This window comes from Homo sapiens, chromosome 8 (assembly GCF_000001405.40).
Source record: "Homo sapiens chromosome 8, GRCh38.p14 Primary Assembly".
Classification (NCBI taxonomy): domain Eukaryota; kingdom Metazoa; phylum Chordata; class Mammalia; order Primates; family Hominidae; genus Homo; species Homo sapiens.
The window spans coordinates 80768407-80794919 of NC_000008.11; the positions used below are offsets into that span (position 1 = coordinate 80768407).

The 26513-nt window shown below is 38.0% G+C and overlaps 1 protein-coding gene and 1 pseudogene across 4 annotated transcripts in view; both read right to left on the reverse strand.

The window, feature by feature from the left end:
* ZNF704 (zinc finger protein 704) overlaps positions 1-26513 on the reverse strand; it is a 255969-nt gene that overhangs the window by 139956 nt on the left and 89500 nt on the right. The gene's annotated exons all lie outside the window — the stretch shown is intronic.
* Positions 8260-8556, reverse strand: RN7SL308P (RNA, 7SL, cytoplasmic 308, pseudogene; annotated as a pseudogene).

Here is a 26513-nt window from a genome sequence, read left to right on the forward strand (position 1 = left end):
CAAGTTACTGTAATTCATGCCTTTCTCAGTGCTCCACATGAACACAAAAAGGTTTGTATTCAATAATAATAAGGCATATTCTTTTTAATTTTCTTCTCTAGGTGAAGGCCATGGGTTTGCTTTGAGACAACTACTGATTCTCAATGGATCTCTCACACTTTTAATGAGAAGGGATTAGGCAGTAACTCAAAGCCCAGATTTTCTTTGTAATTTTAATAACACAAGGTTGGCATCAGAAAATAAAGGCGGTTAACATCGCATGCTATCTAACTCAACTCCATCCAGTGGTGTGCTGGAGTCAGCTTATACTAGCTTATGAAGGGTAATGGATACATCTCTTCCCAACCCCGTGTTTAGACATGTCATTTTAGTAGCCTGAAATTGGCCATAGAGGAGTATTTACACCAGAGAAATCAGCAAATGATACAAATGAGCACTTCTTTCTTCTTCTGGAGAGCTAGTTGTCAAATATTTACTAGAACATCACTAGTTTCATCCATTCATCCAGCCATCTAACATGTATTTACTGAAATCTAACATATCACAAGCTAAGACCTTGTGATAAGCCCTAAGAGTACACAACCTACACAGTCTGTGCCATAAAACAGCATACATTTTAGTTTCCTAAAATGTGTGGACCAACAAAAATACTGGTATATGATTTTCTTTCCCAGCTGAGTTAGATGGTTCATGATGATGTTCAAATCTTTAGAGATTCTAAAGAACTCTATTAGCAAATGAAGTGGAGTCTAGGAAAACTGCACTAGTTCTTGCTGGAGAGAATTAAGACTTATTGATGAAACTCCTGATTTGGTGATTCTGCAGAGGCCCACTTACTCAGCAATTATTAAATTAAACTTTTTATTTTGAGATAATTGTAGATTCACAGTAAGTTGCAAGAAAATAATATAGAGAGTTCCCATGTATAATTCACCCAGTTTCTCCCAATGGTAACTGTATTAGTCTGTTTTCACACTGCTGATAAAAGACTAAAGACATACCTGAGACTGGGCAATTTACAAAAGAAAGAGGTTTATTGGACTTACAGTTCCACATGTTCTTGAATGCTTTGCTGCTTAGAAATTTCTTCCTCCAGATACCCTAAATCATCTCTCTCAAGTTCAAAGTTCCAGGAATCACTAGGGCAGGGGCAAAATGCCACCAGTCTCTTTGCTAAAACATAACAAGAGTGACCTTTGCTCCAGTTCCCAACAAGTTCCTCATCTCCATCTGAGACCACCTCAGCCTGGACCTTGTTGTACATACTGCTATCAGCATTTTTGTCAAAGTCATTCAACAAGTGTCTAGAAAGTTCCAAACTTTCCCACATTTTCTGTCTTCTTCCAAGCCTTCCAAACTGTTCCAACCTCTGCCTGTTACCCGGGTCCAAAGCTGCTTCCACATTTTCAGGTATCTTTTCAGCAGTGCCCCACTCTACTGGTACCAATTTACTGTATTAGCCCATTTTCATGCTGCTAAGACATACCTAAGACTGGGCAATTTACAAAGGAAAGAGGTTTATTGGATTTACAGTTCCACGTGGCTGGGGAGGCCTCACAATCATGGCAGAAGGTGAAAGGCACGCCTCACATGGTGGCAGACAAGAGAAAAGAACTTGTGCAGGGAAACTCCCCCTTATGAAACCATCAGATCTTGTGAGATGTATTCACCATCATGAGAACAGCACAGGAAAGACCTGCCCCCATGATTCAATTACCTCTCACCAGGTCCCTCCCACAACACGTGGGAATTCAAGATGAAATTTCAGTGGGGACATAGCCAAATCATATCAGTAACCTCTTGTAAAACCACTGTCCACTATTAAAACCAGGATAGTGACATTAATATAGTCAAGAGAGAACACTTCTATTATGAGGATTCCTCACGATGTCCTATTATAGCCAAATCGACTTACCTTCTGTCTCCATCCCTCCTTCACTCCTGGTAACCATTAATTTGTTCTCTATCTTGATAGTTTTAATAGATATGTAGTGACAGCCCATTGTGGTTTTAATTTGTATTTCCCTAATGGCTAATGATGTTGAACATCTTTTTGTGTGCTAATTGCTTGTTCTGTGTGCTTATTTGCTATATGTCCTCCTTGGTGAACTGTCTGTTCATGTTGTTTGCCCATTTTCTAGAGGATTGTTTTTTACTGTTGAGTTTTGAAAAACTTTATATATTCTAGATACTAGTCCTTTGTTAGGTATGTGGTTTGAAAATATTTTTCCCACTCTGCAGTTTGTCTTTATATCCTCTTAAGAGAGTTTCTGCAGAGTAAAAGTTTTTATTTGATAGAGTGCAATTTACAGTTTTTCGTTTTAGGGACTGTGGCTTTAGTGTCAATTCTAAGACTTTTTTGCCTAGCCCTGAGTTCTAAAGATTTTCTCCTACTGTTTCTTTTAATTTTATGGTCATACATTTTATATTTAAGTTCATGATCCATTTCAAGTTAATTTATGTATAAGGTATGAGACTTAGATCAGGGTTTTATTTCGTTTTTTGTTGTTGTTTGTTTGTTTTTCCCTATGGATATCCAATTGCTTCTCCACCATTTGTTGTGAAAGATAACCTTTCTTGCACTGAGTTTCTTTTACACTTTTGTCAAAAACCAGTTAGGCTCATTTGTGTGTCTGTTTCTGAATTCTTTATTCTGTTGCATTCATCTATGTGTCTATCTCTCCACAAATAGCACACAGTCTGGATTACTGTAGCTATATAAGTCTTGAAATTTATTCCTCCTACTTTATTCTGTTTCAAAATTGTTTTAACTGTTTTACTTTCTTTGACTTTCCATATAAATTTTTGAATAACCTTCTCTGTATCTACAAAATATCTTGTTAGAATTTTGATAGGAACTGCATTAAACCTGTATATATTTTTGTGAGAATTGACTATTATTACTATGTTGAGTCTTGCAATCCATAAACATGGTATGTCTCTCCATTTATTTATATCTTTGATTTCTTTCATCAGTTTTACAGTTTTTAGCATATAAGTCCTGTACATGTTTTATTAGATTTACAATTAAGTATATATTTTTTCTTTGAGAAATTTTAAATGATACTGTATTTTAAATTCCAGTTGTCATGTGTTCATTGCTAATATACAGAAATGCAACTGATTTTTGTGTTTATTTTGTATCCTTTGACCTTGCTTAACTCTTTTATTAGTTCTAGGAGTCTTTTTAAAAATAAATTCCTTGGAATATTCTACTTAAACAATTATTTTATCTACAAATAGGGACAGTTTTGGTTTTTTTCCTTTCCAGTCTGTATGTCTTCAGCTCATTTTCTCAACTTATTGCACTGGCTAAAACTTCCAGCAATATGTTGAATGACAATATTGAGGCCAGACATCTTTGCCTCATTTCCAATCATATAGGAAAAGCATTCAGCTTTCCCCCATGAAGTATAATATTATTTGCCCTTTATCAGGTTTAGGAAGTTCCTTCTATTTCTATTTTTCTTAGCATTTTATCATGAATGGGTGTTGAATTTTGTCAAATGCTTTTCTGCAGTGATTGATATGATTATGTGATGTTTCTTCTTTAGCCTATTAATGTGGTGATTAATAGGCTCACGACTGATTGACTTCCAGTCAATCCAGTGATTTTTGCTACAATGATTGATCTTCAAATATTGAGTCAGCCTGGAATAAACTCTACTTGTCATGGAGTACCATTAATTTTATATATTGCTGAATTCTATTTGCCAATATGTTACGAATTTTTGAATCTGTAGCCATAAGGGATATTTCTCTGTATTCTTATTTTTTTTGTACTGTCATTGGTTTTGGTATTAGGGTAATACTAGTTTCATAAAATGAATTGGGAACTGTTCTCTTTTTATTTTTTGGAAGAGAAGTGTAGAATTGCTTTGTTGATTTATTAATCTTTTCAAAGAACGAAATTGTATTAGATTGTTCTTGCACTGCTATAAAGAAGTACCTGAGACTGGGTAATTTATAAAGAAAAGGGGTTTAATTGGCTCACGGTTCTGCAGGCTTACAGGAAGCATTGCTGGGGAGGTCTCAGGAAACTTACAATCATGGCGAAAGGGGAAGGGGAAGCAGGCACATCTTACATGGCCGAAGCAGGAAGAAGAGAGTGAGAGAGGAGAGGTGTTACACGCTTTTAAACAATCAGATCTTGTGAGAACTCTAACAGCACTAGGGGGATGGTGCTAAACCATCAGAAACCACCCCCATGATCCAATCACCTCCCACCACACCCCACCTTCAACATTGGGGAATACAATTCAGCATGCGATTTGGGTGGGGACACAGAGCCAAATCCTCTCAGGGATCTCTGTTTCATTAATTTTCTCCACTGTTTTTCTGTTTTCAATTTCATTTATGCTCTTTATTATTTCTTTCCTTTGTTTGCTTTGTGTTTATTTTGCTTTTCTTTTATTGTATTTATTTTACTTTGGGTTCTCAAGGTGAAAGCTTTGATTATTGATTTGAGACTTTTGGTCTTTTCTAATGTATGTATTATCACTGCATTAGCTGTGTCCTACAAATTTTGATATGCTACATTTTCATTTTCATTTAGTATAATGCATTTTAAAATTTCTCTTGAGAGTTCCTCTTTGATTCATGGGTTATATAGAGGTGTGTTATTTAATTTCCAAGTGTTTGGTTATTTTCCTGTTACCTTTCTATTATTCATTTCTAGATTACATTTATAGTGGTCAAAAAACATACTGTATATGATTTTAACTCTGTTAAATCTTCTGAGGTTTGTATTAAGGCCCATGGTATGGACTGTTTGTTTCACTGTTTTTTATTTCTGTTTTCTTTTCCTGCCTTCCTGTGGATTAAACACTTTTGAGACTCTTACTTTTATTTATGTACAGTGTTTTTGAGTGTATCCCTTTGTATAGCTTTCTTTAGTGGTCGCTTTAGATATTACATTATATGTACATAACTTGTCACAGTCTACTGGTGTCATCACTTTACCAGTTGAAGTGGAGTACAGATATCTTATGTCCTTTTAGTCTCCCATTTTTAATTGTTTTAAATATTTCCTCTATGCACATTTAGAATTACATCAGACATTACTACAGTTTTTGTTTCAACCATCAAACATAATTTAGTAAACTCAAGAGGAGAATGTTATATTTACATGTTTTTGCTTACCATGCTCTTTCCTCTTTTCTGACATTCCAGAGAACTCCTTTTAGCCATTATTTTAGGGTAGGTCTGATGGTGACAAATTCTCTTAGTTTTCCTTCATCTGAGAATGTCTTGATTTGTGATTCATTACTGAAGGATATTTTCTCTGGGTATGAATGCTGGATTGACAGTTCTTTTCTTTCAGCACATGAAAAATATTTTGCTATTTTTTTCACCTCCATAGTTTCTCAGCAGAGACATTTCTTTGCTGAGCCTTTCTATTTTTTCATTTGTTTCAACCATGTTCCTAATTGTTCATTGAAGCATTTTTATCATGACTGCTTTAAAATCTTTGTCAGATAATTCTAACACTGCTGTCATTTTGGTGTTGGCCTATATTGACTGCCTTCTTTTTTCATTCAGTCTAAGATCTTCTTGGCTTTTTGTATTATGAGTTATTCTGAATTAAATAAAACTGGACATTTTTGTATTATGTGATGAGATTCTGAATGTTATTTAAATCTTCTTTTTTTTTTTTTTGGATACAGGGTCTCACTCTGTTGCGCCGACTGCCAAGCTGGAGTGCCGTGGTGCAATCATAGCTGACTGCAGCCTCGATCTCTCGATCTCCCAGGCTCAAGTGATCCTCCCATCTCAGCCTCTCCAGTAGCTGGGACTACAGGCACATGTCACCATGCCTGGCTATTTGTTTGTTTGTTTGTTTTGGTAGAGATGGGGTCTCTTTATGTTGGTCAGGCTGATCCTGAATTCCTGGGCTCAAGCAATCCTCCTGTCTTGCCCTCCCAAAGTGCTGGGATTACAGGTGTGAGCCACTACAACCAGCCTAAATCTTCTTTTTCTAACTGGCTTTCTTTGCCATGCCTCTGGCAAAGGAAAGAGTGGGGTGCTGCCTTGTTACTGCAAGATGGGGACAGAAGTCTAGGTTTTCTACTCAGGTCTGCTGACAGCTGAGGTGTGCAGCACTGCGTTACTGTGTGTGGAGGTGAGTTCTGATTCCCCACACAGTCTCTGCTCACACCATGAAGGGAAAGGGGTAATTACTGCCCAGGGGGGATAAAAATCTAAGCTCCTTTCTTGGCATTTTCTGAAACCACTCCAGCAGGAGTATTAGCACACCTCCTTAGGGCTTCATAGGGTAGATGTCTGGGTTCCCCACGAGGCCTTTGCTGGCATGGGTGAGGGTGGGTCCACATTTCCTTCTGTGGTGTTCGGCTAGAGGATTGTCTAAAAGTTTTCCGTCTCGCTAGGATGTTCCTGTCTTGGTCTTTTGACTAAGAAAGAGCAGGCTCCATTGGAGCTTTGTCTATGCTGTTGACATTTCCTATTTGCCAGCTTCTTCAGCTCCAAGTCTGGGATACACGAAGCGAAATGAAAACCCATGAAACTTACTGCTATGCTGCTGCTGTGGCCCGGGGGTTTCTAGCCAGTCTGTTTTCTTCTCTCTACCTTTCATCTTTATATTTTTTAATACATAATGTCCAGAGTTTTTAGTTTGACTTAGGGGAAGAAATAGAAAAAACTATGTCTACTCGAGCTTCCAAAAGTGGAAATCTCCTACTCAGCTATTTTTATTAACCATCCTATCATCTTAGGAATTAAAAAACAAAAATCACTGGATCCCAACAAAGTAGTTGGTATTCTTGCTAAAATTAAGGAACATCAAACATCTTGGTTATAAAAACACAATTCAGTCTAGATCAACTGCAAGGAATTTGCGGATAAGGCCTGTAAGAAAGATTATGGGTTTTGTGAATTTTGTTTCTTTCTCTATTTACCTGACATACAATAGTTTTAAAATTAGAATATAAACATTTCCACTTATAGTTAGATAAAGCATGGATGCTAATGTTTGGTCATTCCATTGGTCTATTCTTACTATATTCACAATGGTGGCATCTGAGAAGCCATGCAAAGTGCCTAAAGGTAAAATAAATGATAAAGAAATTTTCAGCAAGTTATTTTTCAGTGTGTATGGAGCAGACTTGTAGACCTGTACTGACTATATACTCAGATAAGGCCAAACCTAAGGTAGGTAAAAGTTTTAGAACAGTAATCATCATTTAAGTTGAATATCCCAAATAAACTATTTGCTGAAAATATTTTCTTTAGTTTACTTCTTAATTTACTCAGGGTGTTGGAGAAGTGATAGGGTGGAAGAAATGCAAAAATTATACTGTGAGTACAATACAATACAGTTGTTTGAATACTTATCTTTATGGACAACTCCAGAGTGAAATGGCAAGTGATAAAAATGTGCTCCAATATAAAACACTGCCTTACATGGGAGACTGCATTAAATTATTTATCTTCTTTAGAGGGAAAAACATATACTACAAAGAAAGTAAAAATGTTGGTAAGAAGAATGAATATTTATCCTAGTGATAAAGAGTAGCTCATAAAGTGGGCTTTAAAATTTATACCGTTTGTATTATGCACACAATTTTTCAAAAACTTCGCACTTCAAAATAATTTTTCCATGCAATCTCCATAGCCGTCATTTTTAATAGCTGCATGATAGTCCTTTGGGCATTATACCATAATTAATTCTCTAAGTAATCCATTATTGCTAAATATTTAGCTCACTTGCAGTGTTTCACTTCTATAAATAATAAGAGTGACAAGTGTTTTGCCTATAGTTTTCACCCTATCACTATTTTGGATTATTTACTTAAGCAAGAGACCCTGAAGTAGAATTACTGAATCAATGGTATAATTTTTATGACTTCTCATAAGAACTGCTAAATTCTTTCCCAATAGAGTTGTACAGCTTTGCAATACCACCACCAATGCATGAAAATAGGAGCATGTCTGCACCCTCTCCAGCAAGTTACTCTTATTTTTTAAAGGCAATTTTAAGTTGAAATATTCATAACTTAATTTGCAATGATTTAATTAGCAGTTATTTACTACATTTATTTCTTTGGTGAACTATCTGTTATTGACCTTAGTCATTCATTCCTTGAGATTTGGGAGTTTCATCAATTTGAATCAATTCTTTATAATAATAAAAAACCTGCAAATTGTTTTCTAGATTAGTCTTTAAAAATTTGTTAATGTAATAAGGTTATGATTTTTATACAGTTAAAATTTCTGATTCTTTTCTTTTTCTGATTATTTTTTAGAAGGGGTCTTGCTATGCTGCCCAGGCTGAAGTGCAGTGGCTATTCACAGGTGTGATCCCATTACTAATAAGCATGGGAGCTCTGACCTGCTCTATTTTCAACTTGTGCCATTTCACCCCTCCTTATGCAACCTGGTGGTCCCTGGCTCCCGGGAGGTAATCACAATGATGCCAAATTTAGTGTGGACACCCAACTGATGTAGCGCACTACAGCCCAGAACTCCTGGACTCAAGTGATCCTTCTGCCTCAGCCTCCTGAGTAGCTGGGATGATAGGTGTGCACCACCACACCCTGCTGATTGTTTTCTTTGTGATTTGTTCAGTTTATTCTAGGCTTAGGATCTCATTCACTGTAATTCTGCATTTTTTCTTTTTATATTTATTTATTTATAAAATTTTCTATCCAATATAAATTAGTTCAGTGTTTGGAGAGGAAGGGCAAAGTTATTTTTTTTAAATTGCTAAGAATTTATCTCAATATGATTTCCATTAATATTCCTGCCCTTCCCTATTGTTTTATCACGTCAGAAATTGCTAGTTATGCCAGGTCCTTTGGCTGCTTATTTCACTCCACTAATCCCTATTTAGCCTTGTATCATTACTGTTTTTAATAATTGTAGCAACACAGAAATAGTATAAAGTTAATATCTGCTTGTTAAATGAATAGTGAATCTGGCAGGGCTGACAGCCTTCAGTACTATTTTTAAAGAGTTTTCCTTAATAGTCTCTCCCCTGCTTGTTGTTATTTTTGAACAATGTCAAACCTACAGAAAAGCTAAAATCATACTACAATGAACATCTGTATATATCCTTCACCTTCAGTCACCAATTACTAATAGTTTGTCACATTTTATTTTCTCTGTGTATCTTTATATACACACAACACATGCATATACACTTTTTTCCTGAATCATATGAAAGTAACCCATGGGCCAGGCATGGTAGCTCACACCTGTAATCCCAGTACTTTGGGAGGCCGAGGTAGGCAGATCATCTGAGGTCAGGAGTTCAAGACCAGCCTGACCAACATGGCAAAATCCCGTCTCTACTAGAAATACAAAAATTAGCTGGGCATAATGATGGTCACCTGTAATCCCAGCTACGCGGGAGGCTGAGGCAGGAGAATTGCTTGAACCCAGGAGGCAGAGGTTGCATTGAGCCGAGATCGCGCCACTGCACTCCAGCCTAGGCGACAGAGTGAGGCTGCGACTCAACAAAAAAAAAAAAAAAGAAGAAAGTAACCCACAAATATCATAACACCTCACCCCTAAATATTTCAATATATCGCTCTTAAGAACAAGGGCGTTTTTTGTAACCACAACGCCATTACTGTATTCAATACTATTACCCAATACACACTCAATATTGAAATTCAATATTCCCATAATTAACTTCAAAGCTTAAAAAACTGATCAAGAATCACCCATTGAGAAAATATTTGCAAACCACACATCTGATAAAAGTCTAATATCCAGCATCTATAAGGAACTTAAACAAATTGAAAGAAAACATTAAAAAGTGGGCAAAGGACATGAACAGACACTTTTCTAAAGAAGACATACATATGGCCAATAAGCATATTAAAAAAAAGCTCAGTGTCACTGATCATTAGAGAAATGCAAATAAAACCACAATGAGATACCATCTCACACCACTCAAAATGGCTATTACTAGAAAGTCAAAAAATAACAGATGCTGGTTGGGTTGCAGAGAAAAGGGAACACTTAATACATTGTTGGTGAGAGTGTAAATTAGTTCAACCATTGTGGAAAGCAGAATGGCAATTCCTCAAAGAGCTAAAAACAGAATTACCATTCAACCCAGTAGTCCCATTACTGGGTATATACCCAGAGGAATAGAAATCATTCTACCATAAAGACACATGCACACAAATGTTCATTACTATACTACTCATAACAGCAAAGACATGGAATCAACCTAAATGCCCACCAACGGTAGACTGTATAAAGAAAATGTGGTACATACCCATCACGGAATACTATGCAGCCATAAAAAAGAATGAGATAATGTCTTTTGCAGGATCATGGATGGAGCTGGGGGCCATCATCCTTAGCAAACTAATGCAGGAACAGAAACCAAATGCCGCATCTTCTCACTTACAAGTGGGAGCTAAACAATGAGAATTCATGAACACAAAGAAGGGAATGACAGACACTGGGGCCTACTTGAGGGTGGAGCGTGGAAGGAGGGAGAGGAGCAGAAAAGATAACTATTGAGTACTAGGCTTAGTACCTAGGTGACAAAATAATCTGTACAACAAACCCTGGTGACACAAGTTTACTTACATAACAAATCTGCACATGTACCCCTGAACCGAAAATAAAATTTAAAAAAAAAGGGATCACCCATTACATTAGTTATGTATCTCTAACATCTTTCAATATATGTCTTCCTTCCTCCCTCCCCCTCTTCCTTCCTTCCTCTCCTTCATTCTTTCCTTTCTCTTTCTCCTTCTTTCCTCCTCCTCCTTCCTCTCCCATTTGTCTCTTTTTATCTTTTATGACATGACATTTAAAAAAAATTCCAGGCCAGTTGTTTTACATAATCCTTTTAAATTTGGATGTGTCTTATCTTCATTTGTGTAGTTATTCTCCCCCAGGCTGGTGTGCAGTGGCACGATCTTGGCTCACTGCAACCCCTGCCTCCCAGGTTTAAGTGATTCTCTTGCCTCAGCCTCCCGAGTAGCTGGGACCACAGGAGCACACCACTACATCCAGCTAATTTTTGTGGGTTATTCTTAACAAGTTTTGAAATCCTTTTATGTCCTAGTCTTATCTCTTGGAAGATGAGGCTCATCTTATTGGAATTTTGATCAGTACCCTATTATATAAATAAAATTTTAAAATATTCCATAAAAACGACACTAAACCTTAAAATCAATGTATAAAGAATGACATCTTTACATTATCTAAAGGAAAATAGTATGTATTTCTTTTAGTCATCTTCACTTGTCTCTCAAAATTTAAAACATCTTCACATAGATACTAATAATACATTTCACATTAAGAATATTTTAGTTACACTACTTCACTACTGAGCATTTTAAAATTATATTTTCTTACTGGTTATAAACTAGAGTCACTCTCTACAGGATAACCGTCTTTTTTAAAAGTTGATCTTGTTTGCTGTCACTTTACTAAACTTTAGAATTACTTTTCTTAATTTCCTTTATTTTGTTAATTTTCCTACATTTGCAGTCAAAATAGCTAAATATAATAATAATATTAATATTATAATAATAATAATATACCATGTGAGGTGCCGAAGGCTCAGAGATTCATCCCTAGTGGGAAGGAGCAGCAAAGCTCTCATGGGGAGGTAGGACCTCAGATGGACTTTGAAAGATATCTGGGTGTTAGGTGATACAGGGGTAGGGGTCATGGTGATAAGGATGGAGGAACAACCAGTGTTCCAGGAAGAAGGAACAGTGTGAGAGGGTTCAGAGAGAAGGGAGGAGCAGTGAGGGCAACGGCAAGTGGCACAGTGTGGCTGGAGGGCAAGGTACATGGAGGGAAGAAGAAAGAGAAAGAAATGGAAAATACGCTGGCAACATTACTGCAGAGAGCCCTAAATGTCAGGCTTAGAAGTATGTTCTGAACTTTTCGAAGAGTAGGAAACCGTCAGAAATTTCTAAGAGATTCCTATGGCAGAAAGAGATCAGAATGGTGCAAGTAGGACTTGAGAAGCGGATGGAATCTTCAAGACTTGGAAACTGACTGGCTGTTGGGGGAAGAGGAGAACAGCGGCATGTGTATTGAGTTGGATGGTGGCCTCAAAAAGATGTCCCTGTCCTAACCCCCAAAACCTGTGAATGTGGCCTTATTTGGAAAAGAGGTCTTTGTAGCTTTGCTGATATAATTATATTAAGGATCTTGAGATGAGATCATTTGGATTAGCCGTGTGAGCCCCAGGTCCCATGACAAATGTCCTTATAAGAGAAAATCAGAGGAAGATTTGAGGCAGATGAAAAATAAGACACAGAGAAGAGCAAGGGGCAATGCGATCACTGGGGCAGAGACTGCAGTGAGGTACTAACAAGTCAAGAGCGCTGACAGCCACCACAAGCTGAAAAAGGCAAAGAATGGGTTCTTTCCCTAGACCCCCAAGAGGGAGCACACCCCTGCTGGATTTTGGACTTCTGGCCTCCAGAACTGTGAAAGAACAAACTTCTGTTGGTCAGGTCAACCCACAGTTCATAATCTGTTACAGCAGCCCTAAGAAACTAATACAACCTTCTTTCCACAAAATAGAAAAGTTTGGAAGAGAGCTGAATTGGAGAGAAGTGCTTAGAAACTGATCCACATAATTTATACAGTCTGTAGCAAAATTACAGCGTTGGATTAAAACACAATAAGTTCGGCAGAAAAAGTAGGGCAGAATCTTTTCCTTTCCCATATCCTTAGCTCATGATCATTAGTCTTGTCTCACTGTTCGCCTAGGGGTGAATTTCAAGAGCTTGCTTAAAATGTACATTCTTGGACCCCCATCTGTAGACATTCTGATTTATCTGGTCTGAGGTGGGGCTCAAAAATCCACAGTTTCTAAACCATCCCATTAACACAAGAGTGGGCAAACATTTTCTGTAAAGGGCCATATCTGTAAATATTTTAGGCTTTGTGGGTCATATAGTCTCTGTCACAGCTACTCAATTCTGCTACTATTTGCAAAAGCAGCCAATGACAATACATAAACAAATAAGCATGACTGTGTTCAATATTTTATTTATGCATACTGAAATTTGAATTTCATATAATTTTCACGTCATGAAATATTATTCTTCTTTTGATTTTCCCCCAACCATTTAGTGATGTACTAAAAACAGGTGGTGAACCAGATTTGGTCTATGGGCCACAGTTTGCCAACCTCAGCTTAAAAGTGCTGCACTTTGCGAATCGCTGCTTTAAATGTTAGGGCTGAGAATTTTCAAGCCAGTGACATGTCACGAACCAGCCGGAGAGAAAGGAATACACCAGGATAATCCCCAGCAAGTTGGCAGTCTCTTCTAAAACAGCAGCCCATAATGTGCCACCACATTTACAGAAGGGTGTCACTCATGGGAACATGGTCCTTCAGGCATGCCATAGACTTAAAAATAAACTGAGGGCCATTGTGCTGGAGCAGTGATTGGCAAACACAGCTTATCGACTGGATTGGGACTAGATGAGAAAGCCTTGTTTCCACTAGTTTAATTCCACCGTTTTTCTCCCACTGAAGAATGGCTGGAGAATGATGGAGATAGTCTCAAATTCACTCTAATGTATAGGAATAGTCCTTCATAGACATCAGTTAAATGTAATTAGCAATAAATGGCTTTTGCTATATCTCATAATGTTGAACTGTGAACTGCCACCAAAAATATTAGGAAATTACTGCTTAGAGAATGGGCAGTTGCCTTCCCCATCCCCGAGCAATCATCACTGCTGTCTTCTCTCAGTACCTCTTGCTTTGAGTTAGCGCAGCTGGGATATATTTATTTTCAAGCCTCTCTACCTGGGTTGCAGACACAAGCAAGTATGCATAACAGAAATCCATGACAGAACCAAGATTCAATAAGATCTCAACAAGCTGGAGCTCTGGGCTCGAAATAACAAGATGAAATTTAACTAGGACAAATGTAATTGTCTGCATTTACATTTAAAGAGATTCAATTATAAAAGCACAAGTTGGAGGAGAGACGGCTTTACAAGCAGCTGCGTGATGCAGCAGTTCAGAGGATAAAAGGCCTCAGGGATGTTTTTAACTAGAGTCTCAACAAGAGCTAGGGAGATGGGGCTGCTGAAGTACTTAATATAATTTTGGCTGCATTAATACAATTACGATGTCCAGATGAATACAAGAGTCCACTGTACTCTGAAATAATCACATGATATGTAGAGTCCTTCTGCTATTCTAGGCACTAGGTTTTAAAAGGAACGTTAATATACAATAGTAGGAATGGTATTTAGTAATGGGAGTGTAACCAGAAGAGGAGGACGACCAGGGTAAGAAAGAGCCTGAAAAAAGGGTTTCATTAAGGACATCTGAGGGATCTTGGGTTGTCAGCAGTGCTTTTGAGGAAGTACAGTCGCTGCTTGGTATTCGCAGGTGAATGGCACCAGGATGCTTCCCACCCTCAAGGATACCAAAATCCTCACAAAATCCTCCTGTCGTCCCTCTATGTGGGTTTTGCATCCCGTGAATACTGTATTTTTGATTGGTGTTTGGTTGTGGACATGGAACCCGCCCATATGGAGTGCCGACTGCACTTATTGAAAAAAATCCACATATTAGTGGATCTGAGCTGTTGAAAACTGTGTTGTTCAAGGGCACTGTACTTGGAAACCACAGAAATGGCATGGTTTGAAAGTTAAACTACAAAATCAAAGCATAATGGGTCAGGGCTATAAATGGATAAAGTCTATACATTTGCACTCCTGGAAACCAGATAACCAGACTGAACATGTGTGTTCAGCAGAGGTGTGTATGTCCACAGGGAGCAGGAGCAAAAGTAGGATGACAGAAGCAAACATTTGCCTTGCCTAGCCTGCCCTGTCCAGAAGAGAAGGCCTGTCCATCTAAGAAAGACCACAACATTCAACTGTAGGAGTTTGAAGCCATCACACATTTAAATTATGTGACTTTAGTCCATTCTTTTTATTTTTCCCCCAGCTTTTAAGTTCAGCGGTACCTGTGCATGATGTGGTGGTTTGTTACATGGGTAAATGTGTGCTGTGGTGGTTTGCTGCACAGATAATCCCATCACCTAGGTATTAAGCCCAGCAACTGACTTAAGTCCATTCTTGTTCTGACTCCATGTTCTCCTAGCAACTGGGGTAGCCTTTGGATAACGTGACTTCCATTCAGCTTGCCTAATGGGGGAAGGGGACATCATAGATTTCTTATTGGCATTTTTGAATTAATAAACTTTGTTTTTTAGAGCAGTTTTAAGTTCACAGAAAAATTGAGAGGAAAGTACAGAAAGTTCCCATGTTCCCCCTTCCCTCAACCTGTACAACCTTTCCCACTGCCGACATCGATCAACACAGTTACAACTGATGAACCTACACTGAGACATTATCACCCAAAGATCACAGTTTACACTAGGGGTCACTCTTGGTATTGTGCCTTCTAAGGGTTAATGACAGGCAGAGTCACCATTATAGCATCATACAAGGTAGTTTCACTGCCTTAAAAATCCTCTGTGTTCTCTCTACTCATCCCTCCCTTCCTCCAACCCCTGGCAACCACTGATCTTTTTACTGTCTCCACAATTTTGTCCTTTCCAGAATGTCATATAGTTGGAATCATACAGTATGTAGCCTTTTCAGATTGGCTTCTTTCACTTAGTGGTGTGCATTTAAGCTTCTTCCATATCTTTTCTTTTTTGCTGAGCACCCTCTGTCCTCATACTCCATATGTCTTTTTGTGGCTTGATAGCTCCTGCCTTTTTAGCACTGAATGGTATTCCATTTCTGGATGTGCCACAGTTTATCCATTCACCTACTGAAGGACGTCATTGCTTCCAAGTTTTGGCAAGTATTAATAAAGCTGCTATAAAGATCTATATGCAGGTTTTGGTGTGGATATAAGTTTTTAATTCATCTGGATAAACACCAAGGAGTGTGATTACTGAGTTGAGTGATAAGAATATGTTTAGTTTTGTAAGAAACTGCCAAACTGTCTTCCAAAGTGACTGTACCATTCTGCATTCCTACCAGCAACTACTCAGAGTTTCTGTTGTTCCACTTCCTCATCAGCATTTGGTGTTGTCAGTGTTCTGGATCTTGGCCATTTTAATAGGTATATAGTGATTTCTTGTTTCAATTTGCAATTTCCTAATAACATATGATGTTGAACCTCTTTTCATATGCTTATTTGCCATCTGCGTGTCTTCTTTGAGGAGATGTCTGTTCAGGTCTTTTGCCTATTTTTTAATTGGGTTGTTTTTTTATTTTTGAGATTTAAGAGTTCTTTGTATATTTTGGATAACAGTCCTTGCAAATATTTTCTCCCAGTCTGTGGCTTGTCTTCTCCTTCGCTTGACACTGTCTTTTGCAGAGCAGAAGTTTTTAATTTTGACGAAGTACAGCTTATTAACTGCCTCTTTCATGGAGTTTGTCTTTGCTGTTGTTTCTAAAAGGTCATCACCATACCCAAGGTCATCTAGGCTTTCTCCAAGTTATCTTTAAACATTTTTTAAAATTTATTTTTTAGAACAGTTTTTGATTGACAGAAAAACTGAGACGATAGTGTGGAGTTCCCATACAGCCCCCATGCAGTTTCCCCTATTATCTTACATTAGTAGATACATTTGTCACAACTAATGAAACAATATTGATACATCATTATTAACTAAAGTCCACACTGTATTCAGATTTCCTTGATTTGCTTAATGTCCTTTCTCTGTTCCAGGGTCTCATCCTGGATACCATATTACATTTAGTCTTTATGCCCCCTCAGGCTCTTGCTGGCTGTGATGTTTCCCAGACTTTCCTTGTTTTTGATGACCTTGCTGTTTCAAGGAGTACTGGTGAAGTATTTTACAGAATACACCTCAATTGGGATTGGTCTGATGTTTTTCACTTGATTACACTGGGGCTATGGGTTTTTGGGAAGAAAACCACAAGAAGTAAAGCATTATTTCCATCACATCTGGGTAAAGTAGTATTTGTTAGGTTTCTCCACTGTATTTACTCTTTTTTTCCTCTTTTGCATACTTTACTCTTTGGAAGGTCATTATGAGCAGCCTATACTGAAAAAGTGAAGGGTTATGTTCTACTTCCTTGAGGTGGGAGTATCGACAAAAGTTATTTGGGATTCTTCTGCAAGGTGACTTACCCATTTTTTCCTCTTTATTTATCAAATCATTTATTTATATACATACGGACTCATGGGCATTTATTTTATAGTTTGGGTTAACCATCCAATACTACTTTACTTTGTTGCTTAAGCTGTCCCCAGCTTTAGCCACTGGCAGATCCTTCTGTTAGATCTTGTGCTCCTTTGACATGTTGCCATCAGTGAGGTTTGTTTTTGTTTTTTACTTCCTCACTTTCTGCTTTCTGGTATTATAAGATTCTCCAGGCTCATCCTGTATATTTCCTGACTCATTCCTAGAATCAATCATTTTTCCAGGCCCTGATTTCTTTTACTAGAAAATAGTATTAAAAACCAAGGTCTAGTTGGTGGGTGTTCTTCTTGCTACTGGGGTATTGTTTCTAGGCCATCTTGGCTGATGCAAGAAAATATATGTGTGCATACTAACCCACATATATACACGTATCTATAAATATGTATAAACATGGCATCTAGGCCAGGTGTGGTGGCACACACCTGTAATCCCAGCACTTTGGGAGGCTGAGGCAGGTGGATTGCTCAAGCCCAGGAGTTTGAGACCAGCCTGGGCAACACGGGGAAACTCTGTCTCTATAAAAAAACCCACAAACATTAGTCAGGCATGGTGACATACACCTGTAGTTCCAGCTACTCGGGAGGCTGAAGTGGGAGGATCACTTATGCCTGGGAGGCCGCGGTTGTAGTGAACTGAGATCATGCTGCTGCACTCCTCCCTGGGTAATAAAGCAGGACCCTGTCTTAAATAAGTAAATAAGGCATCTACACTTACAGTCCCTCTTCATGTGAGTTGCTTAAGTGCTGAGCTACAGTCAGCTATCTGGACAACCCTAAAGAGATCCAGCTTCTGTGTCTGTCTGAGGCCGACTGATTTTTACTTGAACAATTTTCTGCTACACTGCTACCTACCATTCCTCTCTTTCTTCAAACTTCCACAAGGATGTTTGGTTTGAAAAAGAAGATATTTAGAAAGGACATAATAATTGTATTCAAATATTTGAGTGACTGCCATGTAGAAGAGACAGTCTGCAATTGCTCCCTAGGGCACAATCAGAACCATCCACGTAACTTACATGGAAGAAAATCTGAAGTTAATATGAGGAAAACTGTGTACAAATCAAAACTTTATCATAAAGAGAAATGTGCTGGTCTTGAAAAGTCATGAACTCTGTATCATAAATAGGTGTGCTCAGTCAGACAATCACCAATGGCTTGTCCTGGATGTTGTGATGGAAACTCCTGCTCTGGGTCAGAGACTGGACTCACCGATAGCCCAGATTTAAAGCAAAAAGTCTGAACCTGTAATAAGAGCTGTTTTAAAATAAACAGTCTTATATACTAAGCCCATGTGCTGATAGCCCAGAAGATCAGGATTTATTATCAAGAAATGAATAAATAAGACTCCTGATTATTATACAAAAAGAATACATTTTTAGTAAGTCCGTGTTAGTTGTTAAATATGGTAGTAAAATATACTAAAGCACAGAAGAGGCTTGTTTTTATTGAATAAGTGTGATTGAAGCAGAGGTGGATAGTATACACTTTAATTGCTAAGATTATGGCAAATATTTGAACCACTGCAATAACCTCATGAAGAGAAAAGATTTTGTGCACTATTTTACATCTGCTGTACTCTATGTGCTACTTCATCTGATAGGAAGCATCTGGGATACCATCCAAGGAAATCAGGCAATTCAGAACACCTTTTTTAGAAATGCTGCCAGATTTTTTCTCTTTACCTCTTTCTTCAAAAATTATGCATATGAGAGCACACGTGTGTATATGTACATTTGCACATCTACATGTGCGTGCACACACACTCACCTTAAAGGTCTAATCATGTCACCGACATGTCACCAGCAATCCAGGAGTTCTTACTCAGAAAAGCAATAACACAAAACCCTACAAGAGTTAGGAGATCAAAGCGCTTCCTATGCTAAGCTTTTAATAAACACAACCCAACATCCTGTGGAGGGTAACTGCATTTTAAACATGCACCTATAGTCTTACAAACTATTCAGAATAAAATCATCAGGAATTTAAATGAAAAAAATATATTTCAGCTGAGTCAATATGGCTGATTTCTTTAATTTTCTAGTTTTCTTTTTTAACAGTGAGGCGAGTTTTTATTGCCTCATGTTTACCCCTTCCCAGTATATTTTCTGGTGACAATAATCACAGCTCAGTTCCACTCTCCCTCCTTCCTACTTCTGAGATCTGTAGTACAAAACTAAGTTAGGTTATCAGTTCACATTGCACCTTATAATTTAAAATGCCCCAAAAGCACCACCAGTATGTTGTAAGGAGAAAAACAAATTATAAAGGAATTTATTTCTTTTAAAAAATTATCTTGTATAAAATCTTAACTGCAATAATTTTCCATCTAAAATTTGCCTACTCCAATGAGAGGAGGAAACAGTTTCTTTGCCATATTGTAGCCATTATGATTTAGCCGGTTCCTACTTTCCCATATTAGCAGGATTTCAAGCATATTTGCAAATTGCAAAATCAAAACACCAGGCAGCATAAATTTATGACATATTTTATTTTTATTAATAAAATTCCAAACATGATAGTCAGAATTTCATGCAATATGCAGTGACATGATTTTTAAAAAGTGTTGCAATAATTAGAGTAGTTGAATACTTTTATAAACAAAAAGGTAAAACCAACAGAATAAAACTTCACTCATTTAAACCAAAATCATTTATAATTTATAAAAATTAGCAAATGCTGGTCTTGAGTTAATCAATCTTTTACTACTAGAAAATGCAGAACTTTTAACAACAAATCATAAAGAAAAATTAAAATGCTCAATGAACTAGAATGGCAGACACTACCAGCTACCTGCTCTATAACCAGTCTCCCTTTCTTTCTAACAGAATGTTTCGTTTATTTGGGATGGCAATAGTTGCAGCTAAAAAATTATATCTCCTAGGTGATAAAAGTGGTCAAGTGACAATTCTGTCCAATGAGATGTAACTGGAAGGCATAGGGGTAGAATTCAGGGAAAGCTGCTTAAAAGGGCAAACTCAATTCTTTACCTTTTGTTCTCTGAATTTCATCTTGTGTCTGCCTGGCAAAAAGTGTGCTGTTGGAAACTGTAGAAAGGATCTTAGGTCTATGAGGATGACAGCCACCTATGAAGGAAGGCGGAGCATGAAGTCACAAGGAGTCTGGGCCTTTACGACACCTGAGCCACTGCATATACTGCAGTGGTTTCTTTAAGATTTTTTATTACCTGAAGGGGGGAAAACAAATTTGTTTAAGCCACTCTTTAGTCAGGTTTCTACTGCATGCTCCAAACCAACTCTGATAAAAATTGTGTTGCGTACCCTTAAGAATTTCAAAATCCCCACTTAAAAACAACTATGTACTAACCACTGCCCATTTTTCTCTACTTCTTAAACCAGATCTCCCAAGGACCTCTACTTCGAAAAACTATCGACTGTATTTGGGTAAATATGTGCTCCTAAAAGTAATATACTATTTTCATTAAAAATTATTAAAGCATTGCAAAGTGTTAAAGAGTAAAAAGATGATATATACCATTAATTTCAATTAGATTTCCTACAATGATCAATGCTAAAACCAAGAGAAACCATAAGAAAACAACTCCAAAAACACTTATTAGGAAGAAACCAGAATGATTCTACAAAAGAGAAAAACAGCATTTTTGATGACAGTTTTAAAGTGAGGAAATGATTAAAAACAGGTACAGTGTGGACATCATCATGCACTTCTGACAGTGTCACAGCATAATTAGTATGGTCTGGTGGTGGAAGAACTAGCTACTGATTATGAGGTCTAATTTAGTTACCATCTTACATTGATATATCAGCAAAGATGAAACATAACTTATATGAGGTATTGTAATGTGCTAAGTTAAATTAATTGTTAAAGATGGTAAACCCAAGAACACTACAAAGAGCATAACTAAAAATAGGCTGGGTGTGGTGGCTCATGTCTGTAATCCCAGCACTTTGGGAGGCCACAGAGGGAGGATAGGTTGAGGATAAGAGTTTTGAGACTAGCCTGAGCAACACAGTGAGACCCTGTCTCTACAAAATTGTTTTTAAAAAATTGGCCAGGTATGCCTGCAGTCCCAGTTACTCAGAAGGCTTAAGTGGGAGGATCTCTTGAGCACAGGAGTTTGAGGCTGCAGTAAGCTATGATGGAACCACTGTACTCCAGCCTGGGTGACAGAGTCAGACTCTGTCCTCTGAAAAACTAATAACAAAAAAAAACCCCTAAAAATAACACATGATTCAACTTCAACAATAAGCAATAAAATGAAGTAAGTACCTTCAAAGCTTCTGCCAGTATCTCAGGTTTATGCTTCCATTTCTGTTTGATGCAGATAAGATTATACTCAATGAAAGATGTCAAGAAGAAATAGTCAGAGAAAGGATATTTGTACGTTAAAATCCAATGACTTGTCCATGAACAGATATTTACAAGTATGCGTTTCAGAATCTGGTAAGAAAACAAAGGTAGGCAAGGTGGGAAAAGATTGGTGTGGAAGTGTGTGGCACTGGTTATCAATACCACAGCATTTCCAGTGTGCTGTGTCAGCTAGAAGCTGTTGTTCTCACTCTTCAATGTGCATCAGTATCCTCCGGGTTAGGGGTATTTTGAAAAAAACAAAGATGCTTGAGTCTTACCCAAGAGTTTAAGTTTCAACTGTGCAAGGACTGGGCCCAGCTAAAATATTATTTTAAGAACACCTCAGGGGATTTTAATGTGCAGTTAGGGTTGTGACTCCGTGGCCTAGAGTTACAGTGGTTGGCCCTGAACTGGACCTTGGTTATGGGGAGGACATGGATCAGTGGAGAGAAGGAAGATGAGTGTTCAGGAAGGGAAAATAGGAAAAGGATGAGTTAGGAATGCCTGAGGGCCAAGGACTGGTGATGAGTGCAGATGGTGTGTTAGAAAGGTACCGGAAATAAAAATCACCTATGTAAATACACACACACATACATGAGGTGGGACCAGTTTACAGACTTTTTTAAAAAACAATGACAGGAAATGGGAAACTATATGCAAGAAAGTGATCAGGTGACAATGATACTAGTGGGAGAAGGCCAGCACAGCAGGAACCCAGGGAGGAGTGCAAGAGCGGGAGGTGGGAATAGGAAGACCAGCTGAAAGGTGGGTGGCAGAGGTCCCGGGGTGAGATGGTGACACACAGATTGAGTGGAGCCACACTGGGCAGAGTGGGCAATCTGAGGGTTAAGAAGTTCTGAGGGCATGAAGCTAAGTTTATTGAAGGATGCTCTGGGACATCAATAAAAAATAAAAAGGGAGGAGGGGCAAAGTGAGAAGAGGAAATGTTGAAGGCAGCACAGACAACTAAGAAAGAGTTTACTAAAAATTCAGGTGAGAGACCCTTATGAAAACGGTGGAAGAAAATGCACATTGCCAGGGCCATGTCTCAGGGGGCAGGGAGGGTGAATGAAGGAAGAAAGTGTCCCCAGTATTTTAAAATGCAATATTAACTTGGGGTGAGGGAGAGAGAAAAGGGAGCACTATAGCAAATCCTGCTGAATTGATGTGGAGCTGGTTCAGTAAATGCATGAAATCCTTACAGCTTATCAAGAGTAAGAAAATGAGTGTTCTGACTAATATCTTCAGGTAAAATGGAATTAGGATGAGAGTGTAGAATGTAAAAGGATATTTTCCAGGCACAAGCCTACTTTCACTTTTTGGGCAGAAGAGGATAATCAACAAGAACCTCCTGCTCATACTCTGCACTTGTGAGAGAAGAATGCATGCAAAGGTGAGGTGGAGTGATAGTGTATCACTAGCCATCCCTGTCCCTGCAGATCCTTAGGAATCTGCCCAGAAAGGGGGAAGGAGATTCCCATCTCTAATCAAAGTAGGTGAAAAATACAGGGCCCAGAGTCACAAATTATCAGACCAGTGGGCAGTCCCAGGTGCAGGAAATGCTTAGAAGTTTGGTGGCTCACACAGGGGCATGTTTAGTGGGGAGATAACTGCTGAATCTCAGCCTGTGGGAACCACAGTCTTAATAGCAGACTCTGATTTGTTGGAGAACATGACTCACTGAGCTCCTCTCTTCCAAAAGTGACTCCTACCTATACACAGCAAAACACTTCCTTACTCTGTGCAGGGAGAAGCAGCCAAGGCTTCTGCTGACAAGTCTCCACTCTGTCTACAGTTATCTGGGCTGAAAAAAAAAATGATGGCAGCACTTTCAGCAAGGGAGCAGGGAACAGCAAGGAGGGGAAGCTCATTTTCTGGAAGGAGGAAGGGGTAAGGAAGTGATGAGTTCAGCCAGGTACATTAAGTTGGAGATATTCTCAGGACATCCATGCAGAGAGGTTTGTAGGTGGCTGGAAGAATGGGTGTAAAGCCCAGGGAAAGATTAGGCTGGACTTGAGTCTTGGGAATCAGCTCACAATGGGTGCCTGACTCTTGAGAGCAGGTGAGCTCAGTGTTGGCCCACAAACATTTGCTGAATGACTGGAGAAAGAAAAATAGAAGACCAAAGGCACAGCCCTGGGGGCACATCTGATGTGGAGGTAGGAAAGAAAAGTAAAGAATAGAGACAGAAAGGAAAAGGCAGTGGGTAGAAGTTCTGGAAGGCTCGGCACCATGAAAGCATGGGAAAGAGATTCAAGGTGGTCCCATTTTCCCCTACTAGATTGAACAAGATTTTAAACAGAGAAAGAGAAAAACTGATTAGGCTCTCTGAGCTGGTGGGAGTGTAACTGCTGTTAGAAATGCAAATTTGAACAACTTCTGGCAAAAGACATTAGAACACCCAAAAAGTATGCAAACCCTTTAATTAGGAATATTTCTTCTCAGGTTTAACACTTGGAAATATGTAAGAATATACACAAGGCTTGGCTACAGGATGGTTAATGTGGGGGCATACTCTAACATGACCCCCAAAGATCCCTGCTCCTGGTTTGCAGACCATGATATAATCCCTTCCCCTTGAGTGTGGGCTGGCCTAGTGACCTGCTTCTAGCAAAGGGAATGTAGCCAAGTTGATGGCATGGGATGTCATTTCTTTAATTAGGCTACAAAAAAGACTGTGACTCCTGTCGTGCTAGCAGATTCTCTCCCTAGCATTGTAAATACATGAGATCCTTTTAACACATCAGGAGTAAAGGTTTCCTCTTGCTGGCTTTGCTGAAGCAAGCTGGTATATGGGGAGGCACACATGGCAAGGAACTGACAGCCACTTCCAGCTGACAGCCACCTAAGAACTGAGGACCTCAGTCCAACTACTCTTCCGGAAATGAATTCTGCAACAATCATATGTGCTCAGAAGTGGATTTATCCCTAGTTGAGCCTTCAGATAGCCCTGGCCAACACTTTAATTTCAGACTTGCAAGAGATCCTGAAGCGGAGGACCCAGCTAAGCCATGCCCAGATTCCTGACCCACAGAAACTGATGCATGTTGTTTCAATCCAATAGGTTTGGGAGTAATTTGTTCGCTACACAGCAATATATAACTAATTCAGTTAACCACAGTGCTATTTGTAACTATAAATACATAAAACAACCAAAATGTCTACTAGAATATTTGCTGACTAAAAATGGCACATATGTAGGGACAAGGGAGGAGCAATGGATTTGAGAGAAATTTGGAATTGAATAACCTAAGATGTGGTGACTGATTTAAGGTGGGGTATGGGAGTGTGGATCAAAGATGATGTCCAGCTTCCTGTACTGAGCAATAAGGAGCAATTGACATGGGAACACGGGAGAAAAAGTGCGTGTGGAGAAGATGATACATGTTATCTGGAGAACACCAAGTATTGATGGGTCTGTAGGTTATCCAAGTGAAGATGTTTAGTATATGATGGGCTCAAGACTCAGATGGGAGAGATAAACCCCAAAAAAGTGGCACATACATATGCTATAATACAATTCATTCATTAAAATTATGCTCTAGATGTAGATATTCATGAAATACATTCATAATATATTAATTATTATATTAAAAAGTTCAAAACATCATGTACCATGTAAGCCCATTATTTAGAAAAGTAAGCTGTTTATGTAAAGCATAATATAAAGAAATGGGTAGAATAATAACAAAGTATTAATAGTAGTATCCATAAACCAAACGGCTGGTTTATGGATGCTTTCTATTTCCTTTCTTTATCTATATTTACAAATTATTTAAAATAACTGTATATTTCATTATAATAAAAACAATTAATTGCATAAGAAAATAACAAAAAATCACCAATAATATTGAATGCTACAATAAATTAAGGAGGTTTCATTAATTTTATTGACCACTCTCTATGTACCACAATGAAAACTGAGAAGTTATTTTTTATTTGGCAAGAAGAAAGCAACTGCTTATCTAAGACAATGCAATGGCCACCTTCTCATTAGTGGAAGAGGTTAAATGATGTCTTCCTACTTGCTAAATGTATTGAATGGTATCCAGTACAAATAGGGGGATGAAAGAATTCCAAATAACATGGCAAAGACATCATAAGAAGTGCTGCATATAAACAGGCATCATTGTACAGACATCTGAAATTTATACTTGTTATAAATAACAAGAAAATTGACATTAGTTGGACAAAATTAAGAGGTAACAAAGCTACAAAAAAAGAGAGAGCCTAGGCAATGAAACTATGAATAAACGAGATGTATATATAACCATAGAGGAAGAGAAATTTGTTACTTCAGGAAATCTTAATATTATTTTGGTGAATTTTGACTTTTTGCCTGACAGATATGTTTCTTAAGAAAACAAGTAACTTTAGGAGAGAAACTCGAGCTTCTTCAATTTTGTTGGCTTTATAGAGACACTCATATAGTAATCATTCACAGTTTGATTTTAATATCAATGATGTAAAAAGAGCAATTATTAATAGCTCAGGTTAATCACCAAAGAAACTGCTGTTAATCTTGTAGCTCAACATTTCAAAAATCTTTCCAGGAAACAGCTCACATAAAAGACAACGACCCAATATAAAAATACTCTTCATGAGACAAATCAGCTCTTTTGGGCAGCAAGATATCACATTGAAAGAAACCAAAAAGTTACTTTAATTTTCCAATATGTCTAACTTATTCTCAGGAAAAAAGCTATGCAACATAACTAAAGCTTCTAGATGAAGGAGATCAAACAGTAAAACTGCCAAGATCTTTGCAAACAAATGCAGTTAATTACAGATTTTGTTTCTGTTTGGACACACACAAAGCTGTGCCTGGGAACAAAACAAGTGGATGTGAAATTAGCCATTCTGAATAAGTGAACCATTGATGGTAAATGTGTAAAATGACAAAATTGCAACTAAACTTGAGGCTTAGGTTTGGAGAGAAACTCTAGGATTATTTTCCCTGTCTGGTTTCTATGATGCCATGAGTAGAATTCTGAGGAACTTTTTCATGTACATG